The sequence below is a fragment of the Homo sapiens genome, chromosome 8 (assembly GCF_000001405.40).
Source record: "Homo sapiens chromosome 8, GRCh38.p14 Primary Assembly".
In the NCBI taxonomy this organism is placed as follows: domain Eukaryota; kingdom Metazoa; phylum Chordata; class Mammalia; order Primates; family Hominidae; genus Homo; species Homo sapiens.
This window is the reverse complement of record NC_000008.11, coordinates 66899675-66927541: the sequence shown is the minus strand read 5'-3', so window position 1 is coordinate 66927541 and position 27867 is coordinate 66899675. Positions and strand designations below refer to the sequence as shown.

General features: G+C 41.0%; 1 protein-coding gene, 1 long non-coding RNA gene and 1 other non-coding gene across 14 annotated transcripts in view, besides 2 other annotated features; 2 read left to right on the top strand and 1 right to left on the bottom strand.

Moving 5' to 3' along the window:
• Nucleotides 1022–2221: an enhancer, noted in NCBI's record as "BRD4-independent group 4 enhancer chr8:67837556-67838755 (GRCh37/hg19 assembly coordinates)". NCBI's record gives its function as "activates an origin of replication core promoter dependent on BRD2, P300/CBP, MED14 and CDK7 cofactors, and independent of BRD4, by STARR-seq in HCT116 cells {active_cell/tissue: HCT116}" and the evidence as "EXISTENCE:reporter gene assay evidence [ECO:0000049][PMID:35650434]".
• The window catches only part of MCMDC2 (minichromosome maintenance domain containing 2), a 55612-nt gene continuing 28904 nt past the window's right edge, over nt 1160–27867 (bottom strand). For 5 of the 9 annotated variants that reach the window (XM_006716427.4, XM_005251174.3, NM_173518.5 and 2 more), the window contains 3 exons: nt 26194–26336; nt 22207–22316; nt 5494–8539 (listed from right to left, as the gene is read on the bottom strand). In XM_006716427.4, the coding sequence (XP_006716490.1) occupies nt 8373–8539; nt 22207–22316; nt 26194–26336 (420 nt within the window). In that variant the 3' untranslated portion in view covers nt 5494–8372. Of the gene's footprint in view, nt 1270–5493; nt 8540–14023; nt 14488–22173; nt 22317–25760; nt 26337–27867 lie in introns of those variants that run through there. The other 4 variants (XM_011517469.3, XM_011517467.4, NM_001136160.2 and 1 more) reach the window with 4 other exon arrangements.
• Nucleotides 1830–2029: a silencer, noted in NCBI's record as "silent region_19258". NCBI's record gives its function as "represses an Ori minimal core promoter by ATAC-STARR-seq in GM12878 lymphoblastoid cells {active_cell/tissue: GM12878}" and the evidence as "EXISTENCE:reporter gene assay evidence [ECO:0000049][PMID:35858748]".
• On the top strand, nt 2001–5852 carry SNHG6 (small nucleolar RNA host gene 6). 4 transcript variants are annotated; one of them, NR_152600.1, is made up of 4 exons: nt 2001–2105; nt 4817–4928; nt 5157–5218; nt 5428–5852. It is a non-coding gene; the product is annotated as a small nucleolar RNA host gene 6 (long non-coding RNA). The 4 variants fall into 4 exon arrangements; NR_002599.2 differs by having other exon boundaries at nt 5150–5218; NR_152599.1 differs by lacking the exon at nt 4817–4928 and having other exon boundaries at nt 5150–5218.
• SNORD87 (small nucleolar RNA, C/D box 87) lies at nt 4993–5068 on the top strand. Its single transcript, NR_002598.1, has one exon. It is a non-coding gene; the product is annotated as a small nucleolar RNA, C/D box 87 (small nucleolar RNA).

The window sequence follows — 27867 nt, the reverse complement described above, 5'->3', positions numbered from 1 at the left end:
GTTAGCAACGCAGGAGCTATCCTCTCTGGAACCATGGCAGGGGAATTGTCCATGTTTGCCTCCAGTTATCATATGGCCCTGCACTCAGTGACACCAAGAACTTGCCTAAATTGTTGCCTTAGCATCTATGGATTTAATGTCCAAACTAACTCTCACTTATACCTTTTAGTAATGGTGGCTCCCACAGCTTCCCCTTCACACTGGAGGTGACAGCCCAGGTTGCAAAATTAGGTTGTGGAAGCAACATCCAGCCAGGAATCTTAGTCCAAGAAGCAGGTTGAGGTCCATGTCACTACTTAACAGGAGAAACGGCTTCCATTTGGAGGCCCAAGCAAAGATTTTTAAGCTCCTGTAAAATACTTTGCAATCCTTTGTTAAAGGAGGTACAATCACAATTTGTTTTGCTAGGCTTACTAGGCTTAGATATTCATACTCTATGTTACTTGAGACAAATTGAAATTTTGTACCGGATTTTGTATTCGTTTCTTAGATTTCCGGTGTCTAAAGGAGAGATTGGCCAGGCGCTGTGGCTCATGCCTGTAATCCCAGCACTTTGAGAAGCCAAGTCGAGAGGATAGCTTAAGGCCAGGAGTTGGAGGCCAGCCTGGCCAACATAGTGAGACCCCCGCATTTCTACGAAACGTTTTAAAAATTAGCAGGGCATGGTGGTGAGCATTTAGCTACTCAAGACTGAGGTGGGAGAATCTCTTGAGGATCCTAGAAGATGGAAGCTGCTATGAGCCATGACTGCACTACTGCACTCCAGGCTGAGCAACAGAGGGAGACCCTGTCTCTAAAAACAAAACCAACCAACCAAAACACAAAAACAAATTGGCCGGGCGCAGTGGCTCACACCTGTAATTCCAGCACTTTGGGAGGCCGAGGCAGGCAGATCACGAGGTAAGGAGATGGAGTCCATCCTGGCTAACACGGTGAAACCCCGGATCTACTGAAAATACAACAAAATTAGCTGGGCGTGGTGGCGGGCGTCTGTAGTCCCAGCTACTCGAGAGGCTGAGGCAGAAGAATGGCGTGAACCCGGGAGGCGGAGCTTGCAGTGAGCTGAAATCGAGCCACTGCACTCCAGCCTGGGCGACAGAGAGAGACTCCGCCTCAAAACAAAACAAAAGCCAAAAATATTAAGGAGAGATGACCTATCTTTAAGTGAGTAGATTGTTTAATCATATGCTTTCATGTGTATTCTTTCTGGCAACAAGATCATAAGCCTTTCTGCTCCAGCATCAAGCCCAGTGCTTTGCAGTCAGGATTCTATAATACAATGAGAAAAACAGAAGTAATAAGACGTGAAAATCAACAGCAAATTATAACATGTTCATAAACAAGGTAGGTAACTGCTTTATGAATGCTATATATATGTTTTTTGGTTTGTTTGTTTGTTTTGAGACGGAGCCTTACCCAGGCTAGAGTGCAGTGGCGCGATCTTGGCTCACTGCAACCTCCGCTGCCCGGGTTCAAGCGATTTCTCGTGCCTCAGCTTCCGGGTAGCTGGGACTACAGGCACGCGTCACCACAATCGGCCAATTTTTTTGTATTTTTAGTAGAGATGGGGGTTTCACCATGTTGGCCAGGCTGGTCTCGAACTCCTGACATCGGGTGATCCTCCCGCCTAGGCCTCCCAAAGGGCTGGGATTACAGGCTTGAGCCACCGCGCCCGGCCTTTTAGGGCATATTCTGCTCGTTTGCATCCACTGCAAACTGGTAAATTAAACATTGACTAGCTCTAGCAGAGTTACTCCTGAGCCTGAAAAGCCCCTGCGGGAAGTCACAAAGCCCCCACATAAACTTGCTGTGTGGCACACAGCGTCGCCGCACCGCGCAACCAGGGAAGAGGGCTAAGGTGCGGGTCTCATCTCCCCTCCGCCCCCTCCCCAGAGCCGGTGCACTCAGCCCCCCTTCGCACCCGCGGAGGGGCGGGGCCGCGTACCGGAAGAGGCGGGGCCACCGGAGTGCCTAAGAGCTGTCTTCCGATGTCGCTCTTCCTTTCCCGCGCGACCGGCGAGGGAGGAAGAAGCGCGAAGAGCCGTTAGTCATGCCGGTGTGGTGGCGGCGGCGGAGACTGCGGGCCCGTAGCTGGGCTCTGCGAGGTGAGAGTGATCGCGGTCTTAGGTCCAACTCCTCTACGTGCCGGGTTCCTCCGCCATATGGGTGCCCAGCGCGGCCCCTGTCCCTTCCCCGGGCGCAGCGGAGCGGGCGGCTGCTGCGTAGGCCAAAAGGCTACGCTCCCGGTGCCCCCAAGGCCCACGAGCTTTCCCCACAAGCCATTTGCGCAGTCGCGTTTTGTGAGTAACCACCTGGAAGGCTTAGCTGACCTTTCTCCGTCAACACCGGTTCGCTGTCCTCTGCTCAGAAACTGGGCAAGGGCCTTCTGACTTAAGGAGGTGCCTGCAAGGGACCGTCGGGAGGCTTCGTGCTCCACCCGGTCTTGGCCAGATCTCTCTTGTGTCCCCAGCAAAGTTGTGCGTGCGGCCTTGGCGGTTTCAGGCTCTTAGGCAGCTTGTTTTCCTTAAAAGGGAGCGTTTTATAAATAGGAAGGTGATTATCCCTTAGGTGTCAGGACGACCCTTAGTTAACCGTACTTTGTGAGTGGCTTTGAAACTGTAATGAGCGCAGTTTACTGAGTCATTACTAGTCTCGACCCATTCGTAGAGCTAGTCAGTATTTGTTCCTGGACCTTCCTTCGTAATACGCGCTAAAGTCAAGGCATGGAGGTTGGAGAACAACACGTGCAAGTATAGGAGGCCCTTAGGCTAAATGCCTGCTACACACGGAGATGCTTGTATTTACATAGAGATGTGTATTTCTGGACATAATACAGAAGAAACCGGTCAGCAACTGGGAGGCTGGGAAAACCTGTTAGCTATTCAGAAACTTTTTTTTTTTTTTTTTTGAGCCAGAGTCTGTTCTGTCGCCCAGGGTGGAGTGCAGTGACGCGATCTTGGCTCACTGAATCCTCCACCTCCCGGGGTTCAAGCAGTTCTCTGCCTCAGCCTCCCGAGTAGCTGGGATTACAGGCGCCTGCCACCACGCCCGGCTAATTTTTGTATTTCTAGTAGAGACGGGGTTTCACCATCTGGCCAGGCTGGTCTTGAACTCCTGACCAGCCTGACCACTCGTGATCCACCCGCCTAGGCCTCTCAAAGTGCTGGGATTATAGGCGTGAGTTACCGCGCCCGGCCATAGAAACAAATTTTAAAATTTCATCAGTGAGACTTCGTATAGGTTTTTTTTTTTCTTCAAATTTGAAATGCATTGCTTCGTCTGAAATAATCATTAACTGTCAAGAAGACGAATGTCATGGCTTATCCTTGAAATATTTTAGGTATTATTATTTTTGAGGCTTCAGTAGCTTGAATTCTGTTTTCACTGGTAAGTGCTGGGACTTCTAAAAATTTTCAAACTAAATAATTGATAAAATTGGTAGTGCAGGAAAGTTCTGAAGCATAATACAAAAGAATCCACCGATACATTTGAGAACTATAATATTACCAATACTAGGGTATCTATTGTTTACATTTCCCTGCTTCCTATTCATAGGTACCCACCATTTGGAATTTTGTGCCCATCAGTCTTTTGGGTTTTGTGGGGGAGGGGGGTGGTGTGGATAGCTTTGTGGGGTTTTTTGTTGCTTTTTTGAGATGGATTCTCATTCCTGTCGTGCAGGCTGGAGTGCAGTGGCGCGATGTCAGCACACTGCAACCTCCATCTCCCAGGTTCAAGCGATTCTCCTTCCTCAGCCTCCCGAGTAGCTAGGATTACAGGCACCCACCATCATGCCCAGTTAATTATTGTATTTTTAGTGGAGATGGGGTTTGGCCAGGCTGGTCTAGAACTCCTGACCTCAGGTGATCCACCCGCCCCGACCCCACAAAGTGCTAGGATTACAGGCGGGAGACACCGTGTCCGGCCCATTTTTTAAGCTTTGTAAAGACAGGATTATGCATGTAGTTGTCTGTAGTTCCTGTGAATCATAATATTAAACTGAAACTTTTTTTGTTTCAGTTAATTTTTTTTGAATTATTCAAAACCAGTAGTTTATATTCCTAATACTGATTGTGTGAAACATTTTCAGCATTTCAGCACATGAAAATGATTGTTTTTGCAAGCTCCAACCTTGTATGTCTTCATAAATCATTTCGTATTGCTGCCTGGCTCAATGATTTATTCTCCTGGGCTGCTGTATGACATGATTTTTTGCCCCAGTCCATGTTCTTTGCAGTTTTTAGTTAACTTGGGACTTAATTTTACAGGAATGTGTCCAGTAAAAATGCCAATATAGGTATCCCTGCTCTGAAACTGCTAGGTTTGCCGTTATAATGTTTTTAGGTGAAGGTCTTCACGTTAGTTTTTATACATCTAACCTGGCTCATAGCTCATCCTTGTCGAGCTGTGAGACAGAAAAGCAACGGCTGTGTACTCACTATGACCATTATGTCTTAAAATCAAAACTGCCACAGTGAAGGATATCATGAAATGTTTCCACCATTTTCCTGCCAGTGCTAATGGCTCCTGTTTCCAGTTTGGAATAAGCTCATTTGTGGAAATACTAGGTACTAATGAGACAAACATACTCAGTTACAGAGGTTTGGGTTTGTCAGTACTGACTATCAAAAAAGCAGAAACAGGTAATAGAATAATAGTACTTTTTTATTAAAAAGTGGTTTGGGAGTCTGAAAGGTAGGTTGCAAGTACAGTTCCTAAAGGAATGAGATTCTCTTCTTGGACCATTCCTACATATAAGATGCCCAACAAAATGCAAATAAAAATGGGAATTCGAAATGTAATATTTAATTTCCAGGTGCAAGAAAGCCTTTGAGGTGAAGGTGTATGAAAGTCATCATAACAGATGTTTTCCAAAAACTTGTAGAAGGTTGTGAAAAAACTACTAGGATCACGCGGCATGTATTGAGGTACCTAAATTTAATTAATGTTAGTTATGTGATGTATTCTTGACAGATAGGTTTAATAGCTGGCACAATGATGACTTAAATTACTTTTTGCCGTTTACCCAGCTGAGGTTGTCTTTGAAGAAATAATTTTAAGACTGAGATGCCAGTACTGTACATTGATTAATTACTGACATGTATGTAAGGCAATAATTTAATTAAGGGTGAATATTCTTTGTTTTTAGCATATAGGTTGCTGTAGATGAATGTTCTTAGCTGTCATGTTTAAAAATACTTCTGCTTCGTTACCTCAAGTAAGTGATTTGTCAAGCAACTATGTCTGCTGACAGTTCAGAAAGTATCTGATAAACTTAAGGGTGGGGGCAGATTCTTGTTGAAGTTGCTTTTGCATGTGTGGTATTCTCAACATTAGTTTTTTGAGGGGCACTTGTGAATATTGAGGTTATATGAGAACTTTGAGTATGGAATGATTTTCACTGTGGTTTCTGACTTTGTTTTGGAGGTGTGGCATGCAGCATTTTGGAAGGAAAATTGAAGACGTGTTCAAGAAAACATGAACAGAAGCAAATGATGAAAATGAGCATTTTACTTGATGTTGATAACATCACAATAAATTATGGAGAAAAATACATATTTGGCTAACTTTTAATTGCTGAACAATAAAGTGTTTTCTTTTAAATCAACTCTAAATAGCTCCATTCTCATAGTCACTAGTCAGACCTGTTTTGAACATATTCGAAAGATTATAATCTTGTCAATAATTAGCTTATTTATGGGTGGTGATTCTCATTGAGGCTGACAGCTGGGGAGACATTGCTTGTACCTCTAGGTTCCCTGTCTGGCTTCCCCTTCAGAGCCTGCTGTTGTACCAGGTGGTTGAATCTTAAAACTCTTTAATACCAAATAGCAATCAAATTCCCCCTTACAGATAAAGGTTTCACCTTTTTTATTCAGTTTGCTTTCATCTTTGTGAACAAAAAAGTCATCCTAATACTAGTACATGTAATAACTAAGCAATATGCTATGTTAAGAGAAATGACTGAGCAGACCAGTCTGTCTAGGACTAAATTGGCAAGAATTCTAAAGCTGAATTTATATCTGGGTGAAGGTTTAGAGCTAAATCTTTTCTCCTGTTGAGTACTAGCTTATAAATTCCTTTTACCAAGGTTATAATTTTTATATGATAAATGGTATAAAACCTGTATAGCAACATCTTAGTCACTTCCCTCAGTATAGATTTGGGGGGTATAAGTGCAGTTCTGTTGCATAGGTATATGAAGTAGTTTGGAGTCTGAGCTTTTTGTGCAGCCATTACCTGAATGGTGTACATTGCACCCATTAATTTTTCGTCCTGCACCCCACCCCCTTCTAATTCTCCAATAACCTTTAAAATACCGTTGGCATATTTAATATTAATGAATTACCTCCCATAATTGTTTCTGAATGTACACTTCTACTCTTTAATGAGAAACTTAAACATTTTAATTTTTTTGTGGTGAAGTAACCATCTTTGAGACTGAGGTTGGGTTTTTTGAGCTGGGGAGATTAAGGTGGCAGTGAGCTATGATTGCATCAGTACACTACAGCTTGGGTGACAGCTACATATAAATATGTATATATAAATATAGATAAGTAAATAAAAGCCATCTTTGTGCCATGCATGGTGGCTCACTCCTGTAATCCCAACACTGGGAAGCTGAGGTACTGAGATGGGAGGATGACTTGAGACCAGCCTGGGAAACATGGCAAAATTCCATCTCTACAAAAAATGCAGAAGTTATCCCAGGGTGGTAGCATGTCCCTGTAGTCCCAGCTACTCGGAGGCCTAAGGTGGGAGAATTACTTGCAAGGTCAAGGCTGCAGGGAGCTGAGGTGGCGCCACAACCCTCCAAACGGTGACAGCCCCTGTCTCCAAAAAAAAAAGTTTTTAAACTTTCCAATTGTAAAAGGATCCTAGTTTTATAAAATAGGAATGTGTTTTGCCTTCCCCCCATAGAGAGCCAGACATGTTTGAAATGTAGTATTTGAGAAGCACAAAATAAACGTCTTAACATTATAGAACTGTAATATGTAAGTATTTTGTTGAAAACTACAGTCGCCAGTCGTGTTGGCTCATACCTGTTGTCTTAGCACTTTGGGAGACTGAGGCAGGCAGATCACCTGAGGTCGGGAGTTCAAGACCAGCCTGGCCAACATGGTGAAACCCTGTCTCTACTAAAAATACAAAAATTAGCCAGTCATGGTGGAGTGCACCTGTAATCCCAGCAGGAGAATCACTTGAACCCGGGAGGTGGAGGTTGCAGTGCCAAGATAACACCACTGCACTCCAGCCTGCATGACAGAGCGAGACCCCATCTCAAAAAAACAAAAAACAAAAACACTACCTTTGGCTTCTGAAAACTAATACTGTTTACTCCCTGCTACTAGTAGGTATTCAGTAATAGTGAACAACTTCCTCCGGGTCCTGTGGAGAGTGGGAGAGGTCCAGCTGTACAGTTAAGCATCTCTGTTAAGGGACCAGTTTTGAAAGAATTGATGCATGGTAACATCTTGGTTAATAAAGTGGCAATTTGGTAATGACATTTTGCTTTTCTGTGAATAGAACTGATCTTTTATTAAAGTTATGGAAACTGAACTAAAAAGGATTTATAAATTTTACAAGATGGATTTGTTTTCTCATGGTGCCCCTATCTTTTCAGAGCAGATATCTTCCCTCCAAAAATGAGGACTAGATTTGCAAGTTGGTTTCTTTGCCTTTTGGAGCCTTTCTTGTAACCAGTTAGGGTTAGAGAGCCAATTTATAAGTTATTGGCTCCTTGTTTCCGTGTAAAGTATTTTTTTCATTTAACCTAGCGTATACGTATGGAAAACTTCCAAGGCTTTTCCCGATTCCATATTTAGGGCTTCTAAAACAGTAGTATGTAATGGACAGGCCAGTAATAAAGTATGAAAAGGCCTTACATTTGAAGCTTCGGGTTATATAAAGTATTTACTCATCAGTTTAGCAAGTTCACAAGTGGAAGAAAAATGTTTTAGAGTAATTTGTAGGTAAAGAGTTATTGCCATCTTGTGACAGTAGAGTGAACTACATAAAGGTTGCCATTTTACACACTGCTCAAATTGCAACATTTACATTTTTATCTGTTCACCACTGGTATTCTGGGCTAACCAGGTTTTTCTTTATAGTATTCTCCTTGACAACTTTATCACTTTAAATTGTCCACATTGTTCTAAGTTTTAAAATTCTGTTGGTTTTAGAGGTTTGGATTAGTATTTATCCCATTAGCAATTAGTTTTGAGGGGACTATATTTTATATTTTTAAAAACAGTATTGTAATATATTCCTGTACAGAGTATTATCAAAGCATTACTTCAAAGTCACTCTCAAAATAGTCACACTTTTTCTCCACTGCTTAAGTAGGAATGAACAAAAATTCCTCAAATTGCTTATTCATCACTAGAGAAAATAGTTGTCCCAGGTCCATATGTGGCAATAAATTGTTCCAGCTGTTGTTGGCACTGAGTCAGATAGAGATCCCTTTGCTCTAAGTATTCTTCATTATACAGTTCAAATGGAAATACTGCATTCGGAGCAACACAAAATACAGTGGCCCCTAAATGAAGAAGATAATAGAGTGTAAATGACAAATACTCCTTAAAATGACAAGTATGAAATCACATTTTCAACCAAAATATTTTAATGGAATCTTAAAAATTAAGTCTGAGCCCATGTGGTTCTGTGAAAAATAAAAGTCAAAAAATTAAGTTCTGACCTATTCAGTAGAGTATTTCAATAATCATTATTGAAATCTGACTCTTGTTTTCTGAAACCCAGAAAGCAGGTTCAGTAAGTGCACACGCATTGGTACCAGGGCCAATGGAAGAAGTATGTTGATGTTTATATTTTAAAGTTTGGAACTAGAAACTTGCCTTCTACTGAAATAGTCATTATAGTTTTGAAGCTGATGAGTGATGTGAGGAGGTGACAGGAGTAGGGAGAAAAGGTACTGGAAGGTAAGAAATACTAATCTTTATTTGATAACGGCTAAGTGGACGATCAAAGATAAAGACATTGTAGTACATTTCTCAGTTGTTAAAACCATTCACATAAAGGCAGACAACATAAATCTATGGAAGGGTTTCAAGACCATTCTAGGGGAAAGGACAGATTCACTTTGGATTTGGCCATGATTTCCTGAATGTGACATCAAAAGTACAGGCACCAAAAGAAAATACACATAAATGGGACCATATCAAAATTTAAAACTGCATAAAACAATACAATCAACAGTGAAAAGGCAACCTATGGAATGGGAGAAAATACTTGCAAATCAAATCTCTGATAAAGGGGTCTATAAATCTACAGTAAGAAAATAATCATTAAAAAATAGGCGGAGAACTAATATCGTTTCTCTAAAGAAAAACAAATGACCAATAAGCACATGAGAAAGATGTTCAACATCACTAATCACTAGGAAAATACAAATCAAAACTACAATGAGCTACTACCTCACACCTATAAGGATTTATTATAAAAATAAAAAACAAAATGACAAGTGTTAGAGAGGATGTGGAGAAATTAGAAGCTTTGTGCACTGTTGGGAATGGAAAATGGTGCACCCACTGTGGAAAACAGGATGGCGGTTCATCAAAAAGAGTAAACAATTACTGTATGATACAGCACTTTCACTTCTGGGTATATACCCAAAAGAACTGAAAGCAGGATCTTAAAGAGATATTAGCACACCCACGTTCATAGCAGTGTAATTCACAATAGACAAAGGTGGAAGCAACAGAAATGTCCATTGACAGGTGAATGGATAAACGAAACATTCTATTTACATACAAAAGGATGTTATTCAGCCTTAAAAAGGAAGGAAATTCTAATACATGCATAATATGGATGAACCTTGAGAACATTATGCTAAGTGAAATAAGCCAGTTATGAAAGGACAAATGTATGATTCCACTTATATGAGGTACCTAGAATAGTCAAATTCATAGAGGCAGTAGAGTGATGGCTCCCAGGAGGAGTAGAGGAGGAAACGAGGAATTACTGTTTAATGGGTACGCAGTTTCAGTTTGGGAAGATGAAAAAGCTCTGGCGACGAAGGGTGGTGATGGTTGCCCAACAGTGTGAATGTGAATGTACTAAACACACTGAACTGAACATTTTAAAATGGTTAAAATAAGTAGATTTTATATTTTACTTCAATTTAAAAATTGACCATGAGGAGGTAAGCTCTTCTCTTTTATTCATTAATTCATTGAACAAGTACTTAATGTGACAGGCCAAGAGTACAGTTTAGCAACTGTGCCAAGCAGTGCCCACCTTCCTAGAGCCTCATAAGAACAGCCTCAGACTTCTGACTGCTTCCTTTCCTACCTGATCTTCTCTGAAAGCTTACTATCTCTTAAGAACACTGCTTTCCTTGTGCCTCTCCAAAATGAAGCTTTTTTTCCCCAAACATCCCATATACATAGTGTCACAAGACACAGTCAGAGCCTAGCTTGCTGCCCCTCTGCTGCTTCCAGACCATTCTTTCCCATGCTTCCCTTTTGGTAAAAAATTCTTTCTCCTTTGATGCTCAGTGCCACCTGGTTTTACTATCCTTCTCCTTCTATAGTCAACCAGCAGCTCTTAGCACTTTGCTCAAAATCTTCCTTTCTCCCCTAATACCTGACATTCAGTGATTTTCATGTGGATAACCCATTTAACTCCCTTGCGATGTCCCACCTTTCCCTTCCGCCTCAGCCATACATCCCACGGTCATAGGAAACTAGTATCACCAGAAACTTACTTCAAAACCTTGAGTTCCCACTTACTTCAAAACCACAACCCACTCCCCTACTCTACCTCCTATGCTTCCAGTTCACTTGCTCAAATGTTTCAGGTCTACAGAGACCCCCAGTCTGCTTCCTCTAATTCACTTCCTTCCTTAACCAGCTTAAAAGTCCCTCCCTTTAGCCAGTCCCTCCACTCCTTTGCCCCTCAGCACCACTCTGCCACACTCACCTATCAAAACCTCAACTCTGCACGAACCCAACCATTCATCTTGTGCTGGCACGAAGGCTGCTAGGCAGAAAATCACACAACTGGCATTTCTTCTTTTCCCTTTAAGTGAATCACAGTAACTCCAAACGATCACCTGCCTGGCAACCCTGCTGAGTTTCCCTCGGACACTTCTCTTCTAGCCCCCACAATAACTATTATATTCCATTCTTTCCTCCTCAAACCTTTCATTTTCAGCTGATGACATCAAGTAAAGTATATGGCCAGACTTACAAACCTACTTGGTTCTGTATCCATTTTCTTCCCATCTGTAAAATGGCCAATACATGTACCCTGGATCCTAACCCCTCTCACCTTTTTTGTACTTCACTTGTTGATCTTCCTGTCTTTCTATAGTGTTACTAGTTTACTCTTTACTGCACATCATATGATTTTATACCTTCTATCTTTAAAAAAAAAAAGTTCCTTCCTGAACCACACATCCTTCTCCAGCAATTCCCTCATTTCTTTCCTCATCTTCATAGTTTGTCTATGTGTGCTGTCTCCATAGCCTCATCTCCATTCCCACGCCACTGAAATATCTCTGATCATGGCTACCTACAACCTTTAGGTTACCAAACTGAATCTTACTCAAACTCTCAGTAGCATGTGATTCAGTTGACCACTCTGCCCCTTTCTGGAAAAACTCTCATTCTTAGAAAGAAAATCACACAACACTTGATTTTCTTTCTACATTCTAGGCTGCTTCTAAGCCTCCTTTGTTAGTTCCTCCTCCACAACCCCATTTATAAATATTGGAATCTTCAAGGGCAGTCCTGGGGTTCCCACTAGTCTCCATCTAGGTGATTTCATCCATTCCTTGGCTTTGAGTACCACCTCTATGCTGGTGATCCCTAAATTATATTCCTAGGTTAGAGCTTTTCTCTAAGCTCCAGATTCTTTTATCTCTCTATTGATATATCCGTAGGATATCTCCTTTAAAAAAAAAGTTATATATATACTCACACTTTTCCTCCACTGCTTAAGTAGGAATGAACAAAAATCATACATATATACATATATATAAATATATGTAAATATAAATATATAAATATATAAAACATATATAAATATATAAATATATATATAAATATATAAAACTTTTTTTTTTTTGAGACGGAGTCTGGCTTTGTCACCTAGGCTGGAGTGCAGTGGCATGATCTTGGCTCACTGCAACCTCTGCCTCCCAGATTCAAGCGATTCTCCTGCCTCAGGCTCCCGAGTAGTTGGGATTACAGACGCGCGCCACTACGCCCAACTAATTTTTGTCTTTTTAGTAGAGACAGGGTTTCACCATGTTGGCCAGGCTGGTCTTGAACTCCTGACCTTGTGATCTGCCCACCTTGGCCTCCCAAAGTGCTGGCGTGAGCCACCGCTCCTGGCCATTTATTTTATTTTTTTTAATTAGGGTCTTGCTATGTTGCCCAGGTTGGTTTCAAACTCCTGGGCTCAAGCAATCCTTTCGCTTTGGCCTCCCAAAGTGCTGGGATTACAGATGTGAGCCACTGTGCTCAGCCTATAGAATATCTCAAAGTTATATCTATAATTTGATTTTTCTCCCAGCTCTTTTTCTTTCTTTCTCCCCAATCTTGATAAATGGCATGATTATCCACCCAGCTACTCAAGGCAGAAACATGGGAGTTTTCCTTAATTACCCCCTCTCCTCCCTTCCGCTGCCCCCAACTCTTAAATCTAGTTCATGAGCACAACCTATTGGTTTGTGCATCTAACGTGTATCTCTAATTCACTAATTTCTTTCCATTTCTACTGACTCTACCTAGTTGAATCTCTCATTATCATCTAACTGGACTACAACAACTGGTCTCCCACTTTCTGCTCTTAACCATTCTCCATACCTCCAACCCATTCTCCATATCAACTCCAAACATGGTATTTCAAAAATATAATTGAACACATTAGTTCTCTGTTCCTCATTGCACTTGGATTACAATCCCAATTTTCTACCATGGTCTGTCTGGTCTTACTTTCCTCTCTAACCTCAACTACGATGCTTACTCGGCTTACTATGTTTTAGCCACCCTGGCCCTCTTTCAGTGTTTTGAAAACACCTGCATATGTGGTTCCCCTCTAATTTGACTTCTCATTCTTCAGCTATCTGCTTAAATAAATATCATTTCCTTAGAGAGGTCTCCCTAAAATCCAAAGTAAGTCCCTTCCATTGTTCTTTCTCATAACATCCTGTTGATTTTCTTCATAGCATCGATCTCAATTTGTATTATATATTCATTAGTGTCTTTAGTTTTTTTTTTTTTTTTTTTTTGGATACAGGGTCTTACTCTGTTGCCCAGGCTAAAGTGCAGTGGCATGATCATGGCTCATTGCAGCCTTGACCTCCTGGGCTCAAGCCATCCTCCCACCTCAGCTTATCGAGTAGCTGGGACTACAGGTATACACCATCACACCCATCTATTAAAAAATTTTTTTTCTGTGTAGATGGGAGGTCTCACCATGTTGCCCAAGCTGGTCTCGAACTCCTGGGCTCAAGTGATTCTCCTGCCTTGGCCTCCCAAAGTGCTGGGATTACAGGCATGAGCCATGATGCCCCACCATGTGTTTACTTTTTTTTTTTTTTTTTTTTTTTAGACAGAGTCTTGCTCTGTCACCCAGGCTGGAGGGCAGTGGTACGATCTCGGCTCACTGCAACCTCCACCCACCAGGTTCAAGCAATTCTCCTGCCTCAGCCTCCCAAGTAGTTGGGACTATAGGCACACACCACCACACCCGGCTAATTTTTGTATTTTTAGTAGAGATGGGGTTTCACCATTTGTCCAGGCTGGTCTCAAACTCCTGACCTCAAGTGATCCGCTGCCCCGGCCTCCCAAAGTGTTGGGATTATAGGCGTGAACCACTGCGCCCGGCCCATGTGTTCACTTTTTAATGTCTATTCTCTCACTAGGCTGTAAGTTCTACCAGGGCAGAGACTGCAACTTTTTTCACTACTATGTAACTAGTGCCTAGCACCTAGTTATCATTCAATAAATATTTATTGACTCACATATTGGAAAAAAGATCACGAATATTTAGTTCAAATAGTGATAATTATGAGGCATATTATGAGAACATATAACACACTATAATTTTAATACATCAATCCTCAAATTATAATTAACCTCAAATTACCTTTACAGTTTTACTTTAATATATACAGCCATACCTCAGAGATATTGCAGGTTCAGTTCCAGATCACCACAAAAAAGTGAATATCACAATAAAGCAAGCCACGTCAATTATTTGTTTTCCCAATGTACATAAAAGTTATATTTACCCTATATTGTAGTCTAAGTGTGCAATAGCATTATGTCTAAAAATAAGATGCAAACATACCTTAATTTAAAAATGCTTTATTGCTAAAAAATGCTAAAAATCATCCTCTGCCTTCAGAAGTCATAATCTTTTTGCTGGTGGAAGGTCTTGTCTCCATGTAGATGACTGCTGATTGATCAACATCAGCATACTGTTTGTTGAAGGTTGGGATGGCTGTGACAATTTCTTAAAATGAGACAACAATGAAGTTTGCTACATCAATTGACTCTTCCTTTCATGAAAGATTTCTTTGTAGCATGTGATGTTGGTTTTTTTTTTTGGTCATTTTTATTTTATTTATGTTTTTTATTACACTTTAAGTTCTGGGGTACATGTGCAGAACGTGCAGGTTTGTAACATAGGTATACACGTGCCATGGTGGTTTGCTGCACCCATCAACCCGTCACCTACATTAGGTATTTCTCTTAATGCTATCCCTCCGCTAGCTCTCCCCACCAACAGGCCCTGGTGTGTGATGTTCCCCTCCCTGTGTCCATGTGTTCTCATTGTTCAACTCCCACTTATGAGTGAGAACATGTGGTGTTTGGTTTTCTGTTCTTGTGTTAGTTTGGTGAGAATGATGATTTCCAGCTTCATCCATGTCCCTGCAAAGTACATGAACTCATTCTTTTTTATGGCTGCATAATATTCCATGGTGTATATGTGCCACATTTTTGTTATCCAGTCTGTCATTGATGGGCTTTAGGGTGATGTTGTTTGATAGCATATTTACCCACAGTGGAACTTCTTTCAAAATTGCAGGCAATCCTCTCAAACACTGCCACTGCTTTATCAACTAAGTTTATGGACTATTCTAAATCCTTTGTTGTCATTTCAACAATGTTCACAGAATCTTCCCCAGGAATAGATTCCATCTCAAGAAACCACTTTCTTTACATCCATAAGAAGCAACTTCTCATCCGTTCATGTTTGATCATCAGTCTATAGCAATTAAGTCACATCTTCAGGTTCCACTTCTAATTCTAGTTCTCTTGCTGTTGCCGCCACATTTGCAGTTACTTCCTCCACTGAAGTCTTGAACCCCTCCAAGTCATCCAGGAGGGCTGGAATCAACTTCTTCCAAACTCCTGTTAATGTAGATATTTTAACCTCCTCCCATAAATCATGAATGTTCTTAATCACATCTAGAATGGCAAATCTTTTCCAGAAGGTTTTCAATGACTTTGCCCAGCTCCATCAGAGGAATCATGACAGTGATGGACTTAAGAAATGTATTTCTAAAATAACAAGTCTTGAATGTTGAAATTACTTCTTGATCCAGGGGCTGCAGAATGCATGTTAGCAGGCATAATAACAACATTCATGTCCTTGTACATCTTCATTAGAGCTCTTGGGAGGCCAGGTGCATTGTCAATGAGCAGTAATCTTTTGAAGGGAATCCTTTTTTTTTTTTTCTTGAGACAGAGTCTCGCCCAGTCACCCAGGCTGGAGTGCAATGGTGCAATCTCGGCTCACTGCAACCCCCGACTCCCAGGTTCAAGCAATTCTCTGCCTCAGTCTCCTGAGTAGCTGGTATTACAGGCACCTGCCACCACACCCAGCTAATTTTTGTATTTTTAGTAGAGACAGGGTTTCATCATCTTGGCCAGGCTGGTCTTGAACTCCTGATCTAGGGTGATCTGCCTGCCTCGGACCCCCAAAGTTTTAGGATTACAGGCGTGAGCCACCACGCTCGGCCTCCCTCAGTAAATACTTCAAGAAAGTCTTGACAAAATAGTCACCGTACTAGTCCATTTTCATACTGCTATAAAGAACTGCCCAAAACTGGGTAATTTATAAAGGAAAGAGGTTTAATTGACTCACAGTTCAGCATGGCTGAGGAGGCCACAGGACACTTACAGTCATAGTGGAAGGTGAAGGGGAAGCAAGGCACCTTCTTCACAGGGCAGCAGGAAGGAGAAGTGCCAAGTGAAGGGGAAAGAGCCCCTTATAAAACCATCGGATCTCATGAGAACTCACTCACTACCACAAGAACATCACCCCCATGATTCAGTTACCTTCATTTGGTCTCTCCCTTGACATGTAGGGATTATGGGGATTACAATTCAAGATGAAGTTTGGGTGAGGACACAAAGCCTAACCATATCAGTCCACCCCAACCCCTCCCAAATCTCATGTCCCTTTCACATTTCAAATCCAATCATGCCTTCCCAACAGTCCCCCAGAGTTTTAATTCATTCTAGCATTAACCCAAAAGTCCAAGTCCAAAGTCTCATCTGAGATAAGGCAAGTCCTTTTCACCTATGAGCCTGTAAAATCAAAAGCAAGTTAGTTACTTCCTAAATACCACAGGGGTACAGGCATTGGGTAAATACACCTGTTCTAAATAGAAGAAATTGGCCAAAATGAAGGGGCTGCAAGCCCCATGCAAGTCCAAAATCCAGCGAGGCAGTAATTTTTTTTTTTTTTTGAGATGGAGTTTTGCTCTTGTTGCCCAGGCTGGAGTGCAATGGCATGATCTCATCTCACTACAACCTCCGTCTCCCGGGTTCAAGCGATTCTCCAGCCTCAGCCTACCAAGTAGCTGGGATTGTAGGCACCCGCCACCATGCCCGGCTAATTTTGTATTTTTAGTAGAGACAGAGTTTCACCATGTTGGCCAGGCTGGTCTCCAACTCCTGACCTCAGGTGATCCACCCGCCTCAGCCTCCCAAAGTACTGGGATTACAGATGTGAGCCACTGTGGCTGGCCAGTCAAATCTTAAAGTTCCAAAATGATCTCCTTTGACTCCATGTGTCACATCCAGATAATGCTGATGTAAGAGAGGGGCTCCCACAGCTTTGGGCAGCTCTGCCCCCGTGGCTTTGTAGGGCACAGCCCCTCTCCCCACTGCTTTCACAGGCTGGTGTTGAGTGTCTGCAGCTTTTCCAGGTGATGGTGCAAGCTGTTGGTGGATCTACCATTCTGGGGTCTGGAGGACAGCAGCCCTCTTCTCACAGCTACACTAGGGAGTACCCAGTGGGGACTATGTGTGTGGGAGGTCCAACCCCACATTTCCCTTCCTCACTGCCCTAGCAGAGGTTCTCCATGAGGGCTACATCCCTGCAGCAAACTTCTGCAGGGATATCCACACATTTCCACACTTTGTCTGAAATCTAGGCAGAAGTTCCTAAACCTCAATTCTTGACTTCTGTGCACCCGCAGGCCCAACACCACGTGTAAGCCACCAAGGTTTGGGGCTTGTACCCTCTGAAGCAACAGCCTGAGCTATACGTTAGCCCCTTTTAGCCAAGGCTGGGATGCAGGGCACCAAGTCCCGATACTTCACAAAGCAGGGAGGCCCTGGGCCTGGCCCACAAAACCATTTTTCCTCCTAGGCCTCTGGGACTATGAGGGGAGGGGCTGCTGTGAAGACCTCTGACATGCCCTGGAGACATTTTCCCCATTGTCTTGGTGATTAACATTTGGCCTCTTGTTACTTATGCAAATTTCTGCCCTGCTTGAATTTATCTCCAGAAAATGAGTTTTCTCCTTTTTACTGCATAATCAGGCTGCAAAATTTCCAAACTTCAATGTTCTGCTTCCCTTTTAAATGTAAGTTCCAATTTCTGATTATGTCTCTCAAGTTCAAAGTTCCACAGATCTCTAGGGCAGAAGCAAAACGGCGCCAGTCTTTCTCTTTGTAAAGCACAGCAAGAGTCACCTTTATTCCAGTTCCAAACAACTTCCTCATCTCCACCTGAGACCACCTCAGCCTGGACTTCATTGTCCATATCACTATCAGCATTTTGGTCAAAGACATTCAACAAGTCTCTAGGAAGTTCCAACTCTCCCACATCTTCCTATCTTCTTCTGAGCCCTCCAAACTGTTCCACCCTCTGCCTGTTGTCAAGTTACAAAGTCAAGTCCACATTTTTGGGTATCTTTATAGCAGCACCGCACTCTCTGCAGTACCAATTTACTGTATTAATCTATTTTCATACTGCTATAAAGAACTGCCTGAGACTGAGTAATTTATAAAGGAAAGAGGTTTAATTGACTCACAGTTCAGCGTGGCTGGGGAGGCCTCAGGAAACTTACAATCATGGCAGAAGGTAAAGGGGAAGCAAGGCACCTTCTTTCAAGGCAGCAGGAAGGAGAACTGCCAAGCGAAGGGGGAAGAGCCCTTATAAAACCATCAGATTTGTGAGAACTCACTCACTATCATGAGAATAGCATAGGGGAAACTGCCCCCATGATTCAGTTACCTCCACCTGGTCTCTCCTTTGACATTTGGGGATTATGGGGATTTCAATTCAAGATGAGATTTGGGTGGGGACAAAAAGCCTAACTGTGTCAGTCACTAAGTAAATATATTCAGCCATATGGCTGGGCGTGGTAGCTCACACCTGCAATCTCAGCACTTTGGGAGGCCAAGGAAGGTGGATCACTTGAGGTCTTGACAGTTTGAGACCAGCCTGGCTAACATGGCAACACCCCATCTCTACTAAAAATACAAAAATTAACTGGGTGTGGTGGTGCATGCTTGTAATTCCAGCTACTCAGGAGGCTGAAGCAGGAGAATCACTTGAACCCAGGAGATGGAGGTTGCAGTGAGCCAAGATTGTGCCACTGCACTCCAGCCTGGGTGATGGAGTGAGACTGTCTCAAAAACAAAACAAAACAAAAAACTCAACCATATTCTATCACAGGAGTCCTTAATATAATAATACTATAATTCTTCAATTCAAAGACATATATTTTCATCTTATTACCGTACTCCAGTTGTATCTTAACAATTGATGGCATGGCATGGTAAAATTGGCAGAATTTTTTCTTTACAGCACATAAAATAATGTGTCTTAGACTTAATGAAATGTGGTCTTAAACATAGACTAGGAGAAGCATGTAAAGATAAAGCAAATTGATAATCTTCAATAAACCTGACAAAAAACAAGCAATGGGGAAAGGATTCCCTATTTAGCAAATGGTAGTGGGAAAACTGGCTAGCCATACACAGAAAACAGAAACTGGACCCCTTCCTTACACCTTATACAAAAATTAACTCAAGATGCATTAAAGGCTTAAATGTAAAACCTAAAAGCATAAAAACCCTAGAAGAAAACCTAGGCAACACCATTTAGGACACAGGCATGGGCAAAGACTTCATGACTAAAACACCAAAAGCAATTGCAACAAAAGCCAAAATTGACAAATGGGATCTAATTAAGCTAAAGAGCTTCTGCACAGCAAAAGAAACTATCATCAGAGTGAACAGGCAACCTACAGAACCGGAGAAAATTTTTGCAATCTCTCCATCTGACAAAGGTCTAATATCCAGAATCTACAAGGAACTTAAACACATTTACAAGAAAAAAAACCCCATCAAAAAGTGGACAAAAGATATGAACAGACCCTTCTCAAAAAAAAGACATTTATGCAGCCAACAAACATATGAAAAAAAGCTCATCATCACTAGTCATTAGAGAAATGCAAATCAAAACCACAATGAGATATCATCTCACAACAGTTAGAATGGTGATCATTAAAAAGCCAGGAAACAACAGATGCTGGTGAGGCCGTGGAGAAACAGGAACGCTTTTACACCGTCGGTGGGACTGTAAATTAGTTCAAACATTGTGAAAGACAGTGTGGCGATTCCTCAAGGATCTAGAACCAGAAATACCATTTGACCCAGCAATCCCATTACTGGGTATATACCCAAAGGATTTTAAATCATTCTACTATAAAGACACATGCACACGTATGTTTATTGCAGCACTATTTACAATAGCAAAGACTTGGAACCAACCCAAATGCCCATCAATGATAGACTGGATAAAGAAAATGTGGCACATATACACCATGGAATACTATGCAGCCATAAAAAATGAGTGCATGTCCTTTGCAGGGACATGGATGAAGCTGGAAACCATCATTCTCAGCCAACTAACACAGGAACATAAAACCAAACACCACATATTCTCATTCATAAGTGGGAGCTGAACAATTAGAACACACGGACACAGGGAGGGGAACATCACACACTGAGGCCTGTTGGGGGTTGGCGGGGGCAAGGGGAAGGAGAGCATTAGGACAAATACCATGCGGGGCTTAAAACCTAGATGACAGGTTGATAGGTGCAGCAAACCGCCATGGCACATGTATACTTATGTAACAAACCTGCATGTTCTGCACACTTAACCCAGAACTTAAAGAGAAAAAAAAAATAGGTGGGACACGGTGGCTCACGCCTGTAATCTCAGCACTTTGGGAGGCCAAGTCAGGCAGATCACCTGAGGTCGGGAATTCCAGACCAGCCTGACCAACATGGAGAAACCCCATCTCTATTAAAAATACAAAATTAGCTGGGCGTGGTGGCGCATGCCTGTAATCCTAGCTACTCAAGAGGCTGAGGTTGCTTGAACCTGGGAGGCAGAGGTTGCAGTGAGCCGAGATCATGCCATTGCACTCCAGCCTGGGCAACAAGAGTGAAACTCCATCTCAAAAAAAAATAATAATAATAATAAATAATAATTTAAAAAAGAAATGCTAATTAAAAAAAGATAAAGCAAATTGAAATGAAAAACATATATATATCCTCCCTAACTATTATTTAGTATTGGTTGGGAACCAGCGTTATTCTCTTTTGGTAAATAAAACTAATTCAGGATGATATTTAACCTCTTTTAGGGGCCATAAATCTCTATTTCATAAAAATTAATGCTCTATGTTCCTCGGAAAAAAATGTATAAGGCACACACATGTGTACATTTGTATATTATTTAGGGATTTGCAAGCCCCTATACCAAGCATCTATGGATCCTAGATTAAGAATGCTTGACATTTATAGAACAAAGACAATTATAGAACAATTTATAGAACTTTAGACAATAATAGAACAAAGTTCTAATATTCGAATGGATCTCTGCAAACAGGTATTACAATATAAATGTAATTTAAAGCAAATGTAATCACCAGCACATACACACAGGAAAGCTAGTGTTAATACATTCTTTAAGTCCCAGGGCTGGAACCAAGGTTTGGTTTGAAGAATGGTATCGCTAATCAAAATTAATGTCTCATCTAATTCAACCAAGAACTTTGGGAGAATAACTCTCCTTTACCCTTACCTTAAAAACCTCTTTTGCGTGTTTATTAGCAAAAGCATAATAAGTGCCATTCATTTCAAAAAATTAAATGCTATAGACATAGTATTAAAACTAGTAATTCAGCAAAGGTGGTGATACAAGATAATCAGATTTTCTTTTCTTTCTTTCTTTTTTTTTTTTTTTGAGATGGAGTCTCACTCTGTCACCCAGACTGGAGTGCAGTGGTGCAATCTCAGCTCACTGCAACCTCCACCTCCCAGTTTCAAACGATTCTCTTGCCTCAGCCTCCTGAGTAGCTGGGACTACAGGCACCTGCCACCACACCTAGCTAATTTTTGTACTTTTAGTAGAGACGGGTTTTCACCATATTAGGCAGGCTGGTCTTGATCTCCTGACCTTGTGATCCATCTGTCTCGGCCTCCCAAGGTGCTGGGATTACAGGTGTGAGCCACCACACCCAGCTGATGATCAGATTTTCTTTTGCTATGTTGCCTAACTCCACTGTGGGGGATTGTTTGATACCTAAATGTTGCAAGTTATTTTAAAAGGAAGATAAATTAAAATCATTTTATGTGTTGTAGTAAGTACTTTTTCCCCCAGAATTCTTTAAGCAATGCAAATGTTCAAATATGAAAACAATCATGCATAATAAGGAATTTAATATCAGATGATGATACTACCCAGAAACAGTTAATAAATGCCCAAATTAAAACAGGCCTTACCTGGTAGAGATTTGTTATTCTTTAAAATAATATTTTAAAAATATATGTAACATTTTAATTTAACCAACTAAGAATATTTAAGGTTAAATAAAAGTTATTTGTAGTGATCATTAATAATTTAATTCATTACCATATTTCAATGTGAGGGATGTTTCAAATAGTAAGGCTGCAATCAGCACATCTTCTTTAAGCACTTTGTTCCTTAAGTTCAGTCGTGCATGGGCTTCAGATAGGAAAACGCTAAAAAAGAAAATAGTTGCCAAAGAAAATATGTTGATATTATAAAAATAATATATATTTTGGCAGGAACAAATCGAGATATATATGAACCTTAGCCACACCTAAAGCATATTCTTACTTTAAAAAAATTTTTAGTTTCTTTTCAAAGGATTTTTTTTCCCCACCGACTTAAATAGACTGTTCCAGAACAAGCCAGTATCCTTTTGGTTTCCATCCTGGCTTTTATTTATCATTCCACACTCCCCTCCCGAAGTTTTGTTCAGATAAATACACAGTTGGGAAAATTAATCTAACTAAATATCTTTTACAGACAAATCCTTGACTTTTTCTTTTAGTCCTTCATTTATCTAAAATCCTCATAGATTTGCAAGATTTTTGTTTGCAATTTCAGCATTGGAAGAGATCTTGGAATTCAAAGTTCAAACTTTCATCAGAAAACTAAATTTCCTCTACAACATCCTGGGCTATTCATTTTCCAGTCTCTTTTGGACCTCTCCTAGCATTCATGGCTTCATGAGGCAATCCGTTCCTTTATTTTTAATTTTTTAACCAGCTTCCATTACTTGAAAGATCTCCTTCAAGCAAAAGTGATGTATCTGAATGACTGCTGAACTTGGGAATCAGAAAACCTAGGCTGAGTCTCTAGAATTTACTAGCTGTATTACTTTGTATAAATCATTTAATGTATGAGATTTTTTGAAACTCAGCTGTAAAAGGCAGATAAGTAAAGGCATTTGAAAGTTTTGCAACTAACTATAACCATAACTAACTATAACCAAGATTCTATCAATCTAAGCTAAAATTAGTTTCACTGCAATTTCTACCCACAGGTCTCTTGTTCTGTCTTCTGAGACCTCTTAATATGATGCTCTTCAGATATGCAAAGATAACTTTTTGATTGCTCCGTGTTTTCTCTCCTCCAAGTTAAATATTTCTAGTTCCTTTACTATGCTATGAGACATAATTTTCAGCTCCTTACCATGATGGCTACTCTCCTCATGACCTAATTTGGTTAATACTCCTTTTCAGTGCAGTACGACAGCAGTTTTGACCATCACATTAGAGATAAGGCATAACTAGCATTTTGTTGCTCTTGATATATATTCTATTAATATGACCCCAACTCTCAGTATTATTAATAGCCATATTACATTATTTACTCTTATTAAACATAAAAAGAATGAAATATCAAATCCTTTTCATATCTTTTCATATTAAGCCACATTACCATTTTCTCATCAATTCACACTTATACTAGGGAGTCTGGGCATCTAACAGAGGGCTTTACATTTATCCTATTAACTTTCTTCTTTTAGATTAAGATCACAGTTCAAGCTTGTGAAGTTCTCTCCAATATTGCTCATTTATAAATGTAATTATCATGTCTCTGATATCCTCATCCAAGATCCTTCTAAAAATGTTGACCGGGACAGAATATGTATAGAGCCTTTAGAAAGTATTGTTCAGCTCCACTTCTCTAGAAAAGCAAAGATGCTTGTGATTAGGTACCTGTCTGTAGAAATGGCAAAAAAATTCAAGGTTTATGACTCTTCTAGCTAGGGGTTTATTTACTCTGCTGTTTCACAAACCACCCTTAGTATTTATTTCTACAATGCGAAAAAGTAGAGTTATCATATTAAAATTAACTACTTTATTTTTGAAATAATAGCTGCATCACAGCTTCACTGTGTTGTGATGTAGCAGTACCATAGTTTAAACAGTCCCCTACTGATAGACCATTTCTTTATTTGATATAGTATTAAAGTGTAATCTCAAAATAATTGTTAAGTAGAACCAGGAGTAAAATAATTCATTAAATAAATAAATAAATATATTGTTACAACTGCAATATAAAATAAGACAGATGAAGAACTGGCAGAAAATGTCAAGTATAAATCTGTAAGATTTAGACATGTTTAGTTAATTTCCCCAACTGTATATTTATCTTCATAGAGCTGAAAAAATGCTAAAGATAAGCCAAGTAGAAGTCAACTCTTTGATAAATGTTTCAAAATGGAAAACAGAATTACATAATGCTTTCTGTTTCCTGAAGTAACATTTAAAATACTCAGATCAAATTACACTGTTTGCTTTTTTTTTTTTTTGAGACAGTTTCACTCTTGTTGCCCAGGTTGGAGTGCAATGGCCCAATTGCAGCTCACTGCAACCTCCGCCTCCCAGGTACAAGTGATTCTCCTGTGTCACAGCCTCCCAAGTAGCTCAGATTACAGGCATGTGCCACCATGCCTGGCTCATTATTTTGTATTTAGTAGAGACAGGGTTTCATCACGTTAGTCAGGCTGGTTGTGAACTCCTGACCTCTGGTGATCCACCCAACTTGGCCTCCCAAAGTACTGGGATTACAGGTGTGCACTACCGTGCTTTAAGAGTTCTATTTTCTCATAATGTTCTTTTCTCTATAGTAAAAATATGTTTTGTATTTGAACTCACATAGTCTCAGTTTACATATGAAAAGATATATGTATATATATATATATATATATATATATATATTTTTTTTTTTTTTTTTTTTGAGACAGAATCTTGCTCTGTCGCCAGGCTGGAGTGCAGTGGCACAATCTCGGCCCACTGCAACCTCCGCCTCTGGGGTTCAAGTGATTCTCCTGCCTCAGCCTCATGAGTAGCTGGGACTACAGGCATGTGCCACAACGCCAAGCTAATTTTTTTTGTATTTTTTTGGTAAAGACAGGGTTTCACCATGTTGGCCAGGCTGGGCTCAAACTCCTGACCTCAGGTGATCGCCCCACCTTGGCCTCCCAAAGTGCTGGGATTATAGGCATGAGCCACTAGGCCAGGCTTTTTTTTTTTTAAATTGAGAAGGGGGTTTCACTCTGTCACGCAGGCTGGAGTAAAGTGGCATATCTAGGTGCTCTGCAACTTCCGCTTGATGGGCTCAAGCAATCCTCCCACCTCAGCTTCCTGAGTAGCTGGGACTACAGGCACCTGCCACCAGGCCCAGCTAGTTTTTTGTATTTTTGGTAGAGACAGGATTTCACCATGTTGCCCAGGCTGCTCTGTTTGTTTGTTTGTTTGTTTTAAATACAGATGAGGTCTCACTATGTTGCCCAGGCTGTTCTTGAATTCTTGAGCTCAAGTGATCCTCCCACCTCAGCCTCCCAAAGTGCTAGGATTACAGGTGTGACCCACTGCACCCAGCCCTGAGGCTGGTCTTGAACTGAGCTCAAGCCACCCACCTGCCTCAGCCTCCTAAAGTGCTGGGATTACAGGCATGAGCCACCGCGCCTGACCAACACCCATATTTTTTTTCTTTTTTGAGACGGAGTCTCACTGTGTCGCCCAGGCTGGAGTGCAGTGGCATGATCTCAGCTCACTGCAACCTCTGCCTCCCGGGTTCAAGCAATTCTCCTGCCTCAGCCTCCCAAGTAGCTGGGACTACATGAACGCACCACCACGCCTAGCTAATTTTCTGTATTTTATTAGAGACAGGGTTTTACTGTGTTGCCCAGGCTGGTCTTGAACTCCTGACCTCAGGCAATCTGCCCTCTCGGACTCCCAAAGTGCTGGGATTACAGGTGTGAGCCACCGTGCCCGCCCAACAGCCACATTTTTAAAAACAAGGATTTGCATTTGAAATCAGTGCACTTTTCCCAGACATATCTCATATGGCATCCAATAAAAATCAGTTTAGTAAAAAAATTATTAGAGATTAAAATGATGTAACATGATATAACAAAAGGAATTGTGAAGCCTTTAGTCCTTTTGGAACAAGGCCATTTACAAACCAACCAACTAGCAATCAAGCAGAGAAACAAGTGAAATAGGTAAATTAGCAATTTAATTAAACATATCATTTGAAACTCAATGCTGATTTTAAAATCTTGAATTGAATACCTACAGATATTTTAATGCAGATGCTGACAGCTTTGATCCACATACAGAGCCTGTTCTGATTCTGCGACTTGCTAGATAATAGCCATGGGTCATTCTTTCTGCTTCCAAGCTGAATTCTACATTCAAATTCTTTGCAAAAGCCAATAGCTAAAAAGTGTGAAAAATCCAAGATAATCAAGCTTTATTATGGAATCAATATAACAGAAATCAAAAGTATACTGGCACTTTATTTTTACAAGTTTGCATATTTTATTACATAAAAAAGAGTAAATGTCTGGGGCCATCTTGAAGTCACTGAACACTTTAAATCACAGTGTTATACTTGTAAACGATATTAAAGTTTACCCAGAATAATCTCCTCCCTCTCAGTGCAGAAATGTTCTGTGCAATATATTTGAATGACTTTACAACGTCTTTGCTCCCAGTTAAAGGCTCACCTCCCTCAGAAGCTAACTTTCCTTTGAATAGCTTTAATTCTCTGACAGTTTTTTCCTCGTAAGTTTCTCTCATTGGCCTAGAGCTACTTGCCCTCCTTACTTCCCTTCCTTCCTTTTAAAGAACACAACGTTTGGTATGAGGGGAAACATTGTGTTAACTGCTTTGAAGGTGGGCTTTGGTGATTTAGTAAGATTTGGGTAGAGAATAATTCTGCAACACATGATTATCACTGTTTTTTTTGAGTTTTGTGCTTTTCTTTTCTTTCACAGTCAGTGATTCCTAGTTCCCAAAGTTCTTCTCTGTGACGTAATTTCCAAATTTTTTACTATCCTAGTTATTTTCTAGTTTTTTCAATTCAGATAACTGCAGGAAAAATTAACTATAATAAGGTTACTGTTTTTTTTCTGACACTACCTACACCTGGAGAAAGGTTGCTATTAACTATAAAATTTATATGTTTTTTTTTTATTTATTTTGAGAAGGAGTTTCGCTCTTGTTGCCCAAACTGGAGTGCAATAGCGCAAACTCGGCTCACTGCAACCTCAGCCTCTGGGGTTCAAGCGATTCTCCTGTCTCAGCCTCCCGAGTAGCTGGGATTATAGGCGCGTACCACCACGCCTAGCTAATTTTTTGTATTTTTGGTAGAGATGGGGTTTCACTATGTTGGCCAGGCTGGTCTCAAACTCCTGACCTCAGGTGATCCGCCCACCTCGGCCTCCCAAAGTGCTGGGATTACAGGCATGAGCCACCGCGCCTAGCCTATTTTATTTATTTATTTTTGAGATGGAGGCTTGCTCTATCGCCCAGGCTGGAGTGCCGTGGCACGATCTCAGCTCACTGCAAACTCTGCCTCCTGGTTCAAGTGATTCTCCTGCCTCAGCCTCCTGAGTAGCTGGGACTACAGGTGTGTGCCACCATGCCCAGCTAATTTTTTCTTTTGTTTTTTTTTGTATTTTTAGTAGAGACAGTTTCACCATATTGGCCAGGCTGGTCTCGAACTCTTGACCTCAGGTGATCTGCCCGCCTCAGCCTCCCAGAGTGCTGGGATTACAGGCGTGAGCCACTAGGCCCGGCCTAAAATTTATATTTTAAATTTAACTTTTAAAAAAGCATAGAGACAGCTGGGCACGGTGGCTCACACCTGTAATCCCAGCACTTTGGGAGGCCGAGGTGGGTAGATCACGAGGTCAAGAGATTGAGACCATCCTGGCCAACATGGTGAAACCCTGTCTCTACTAAA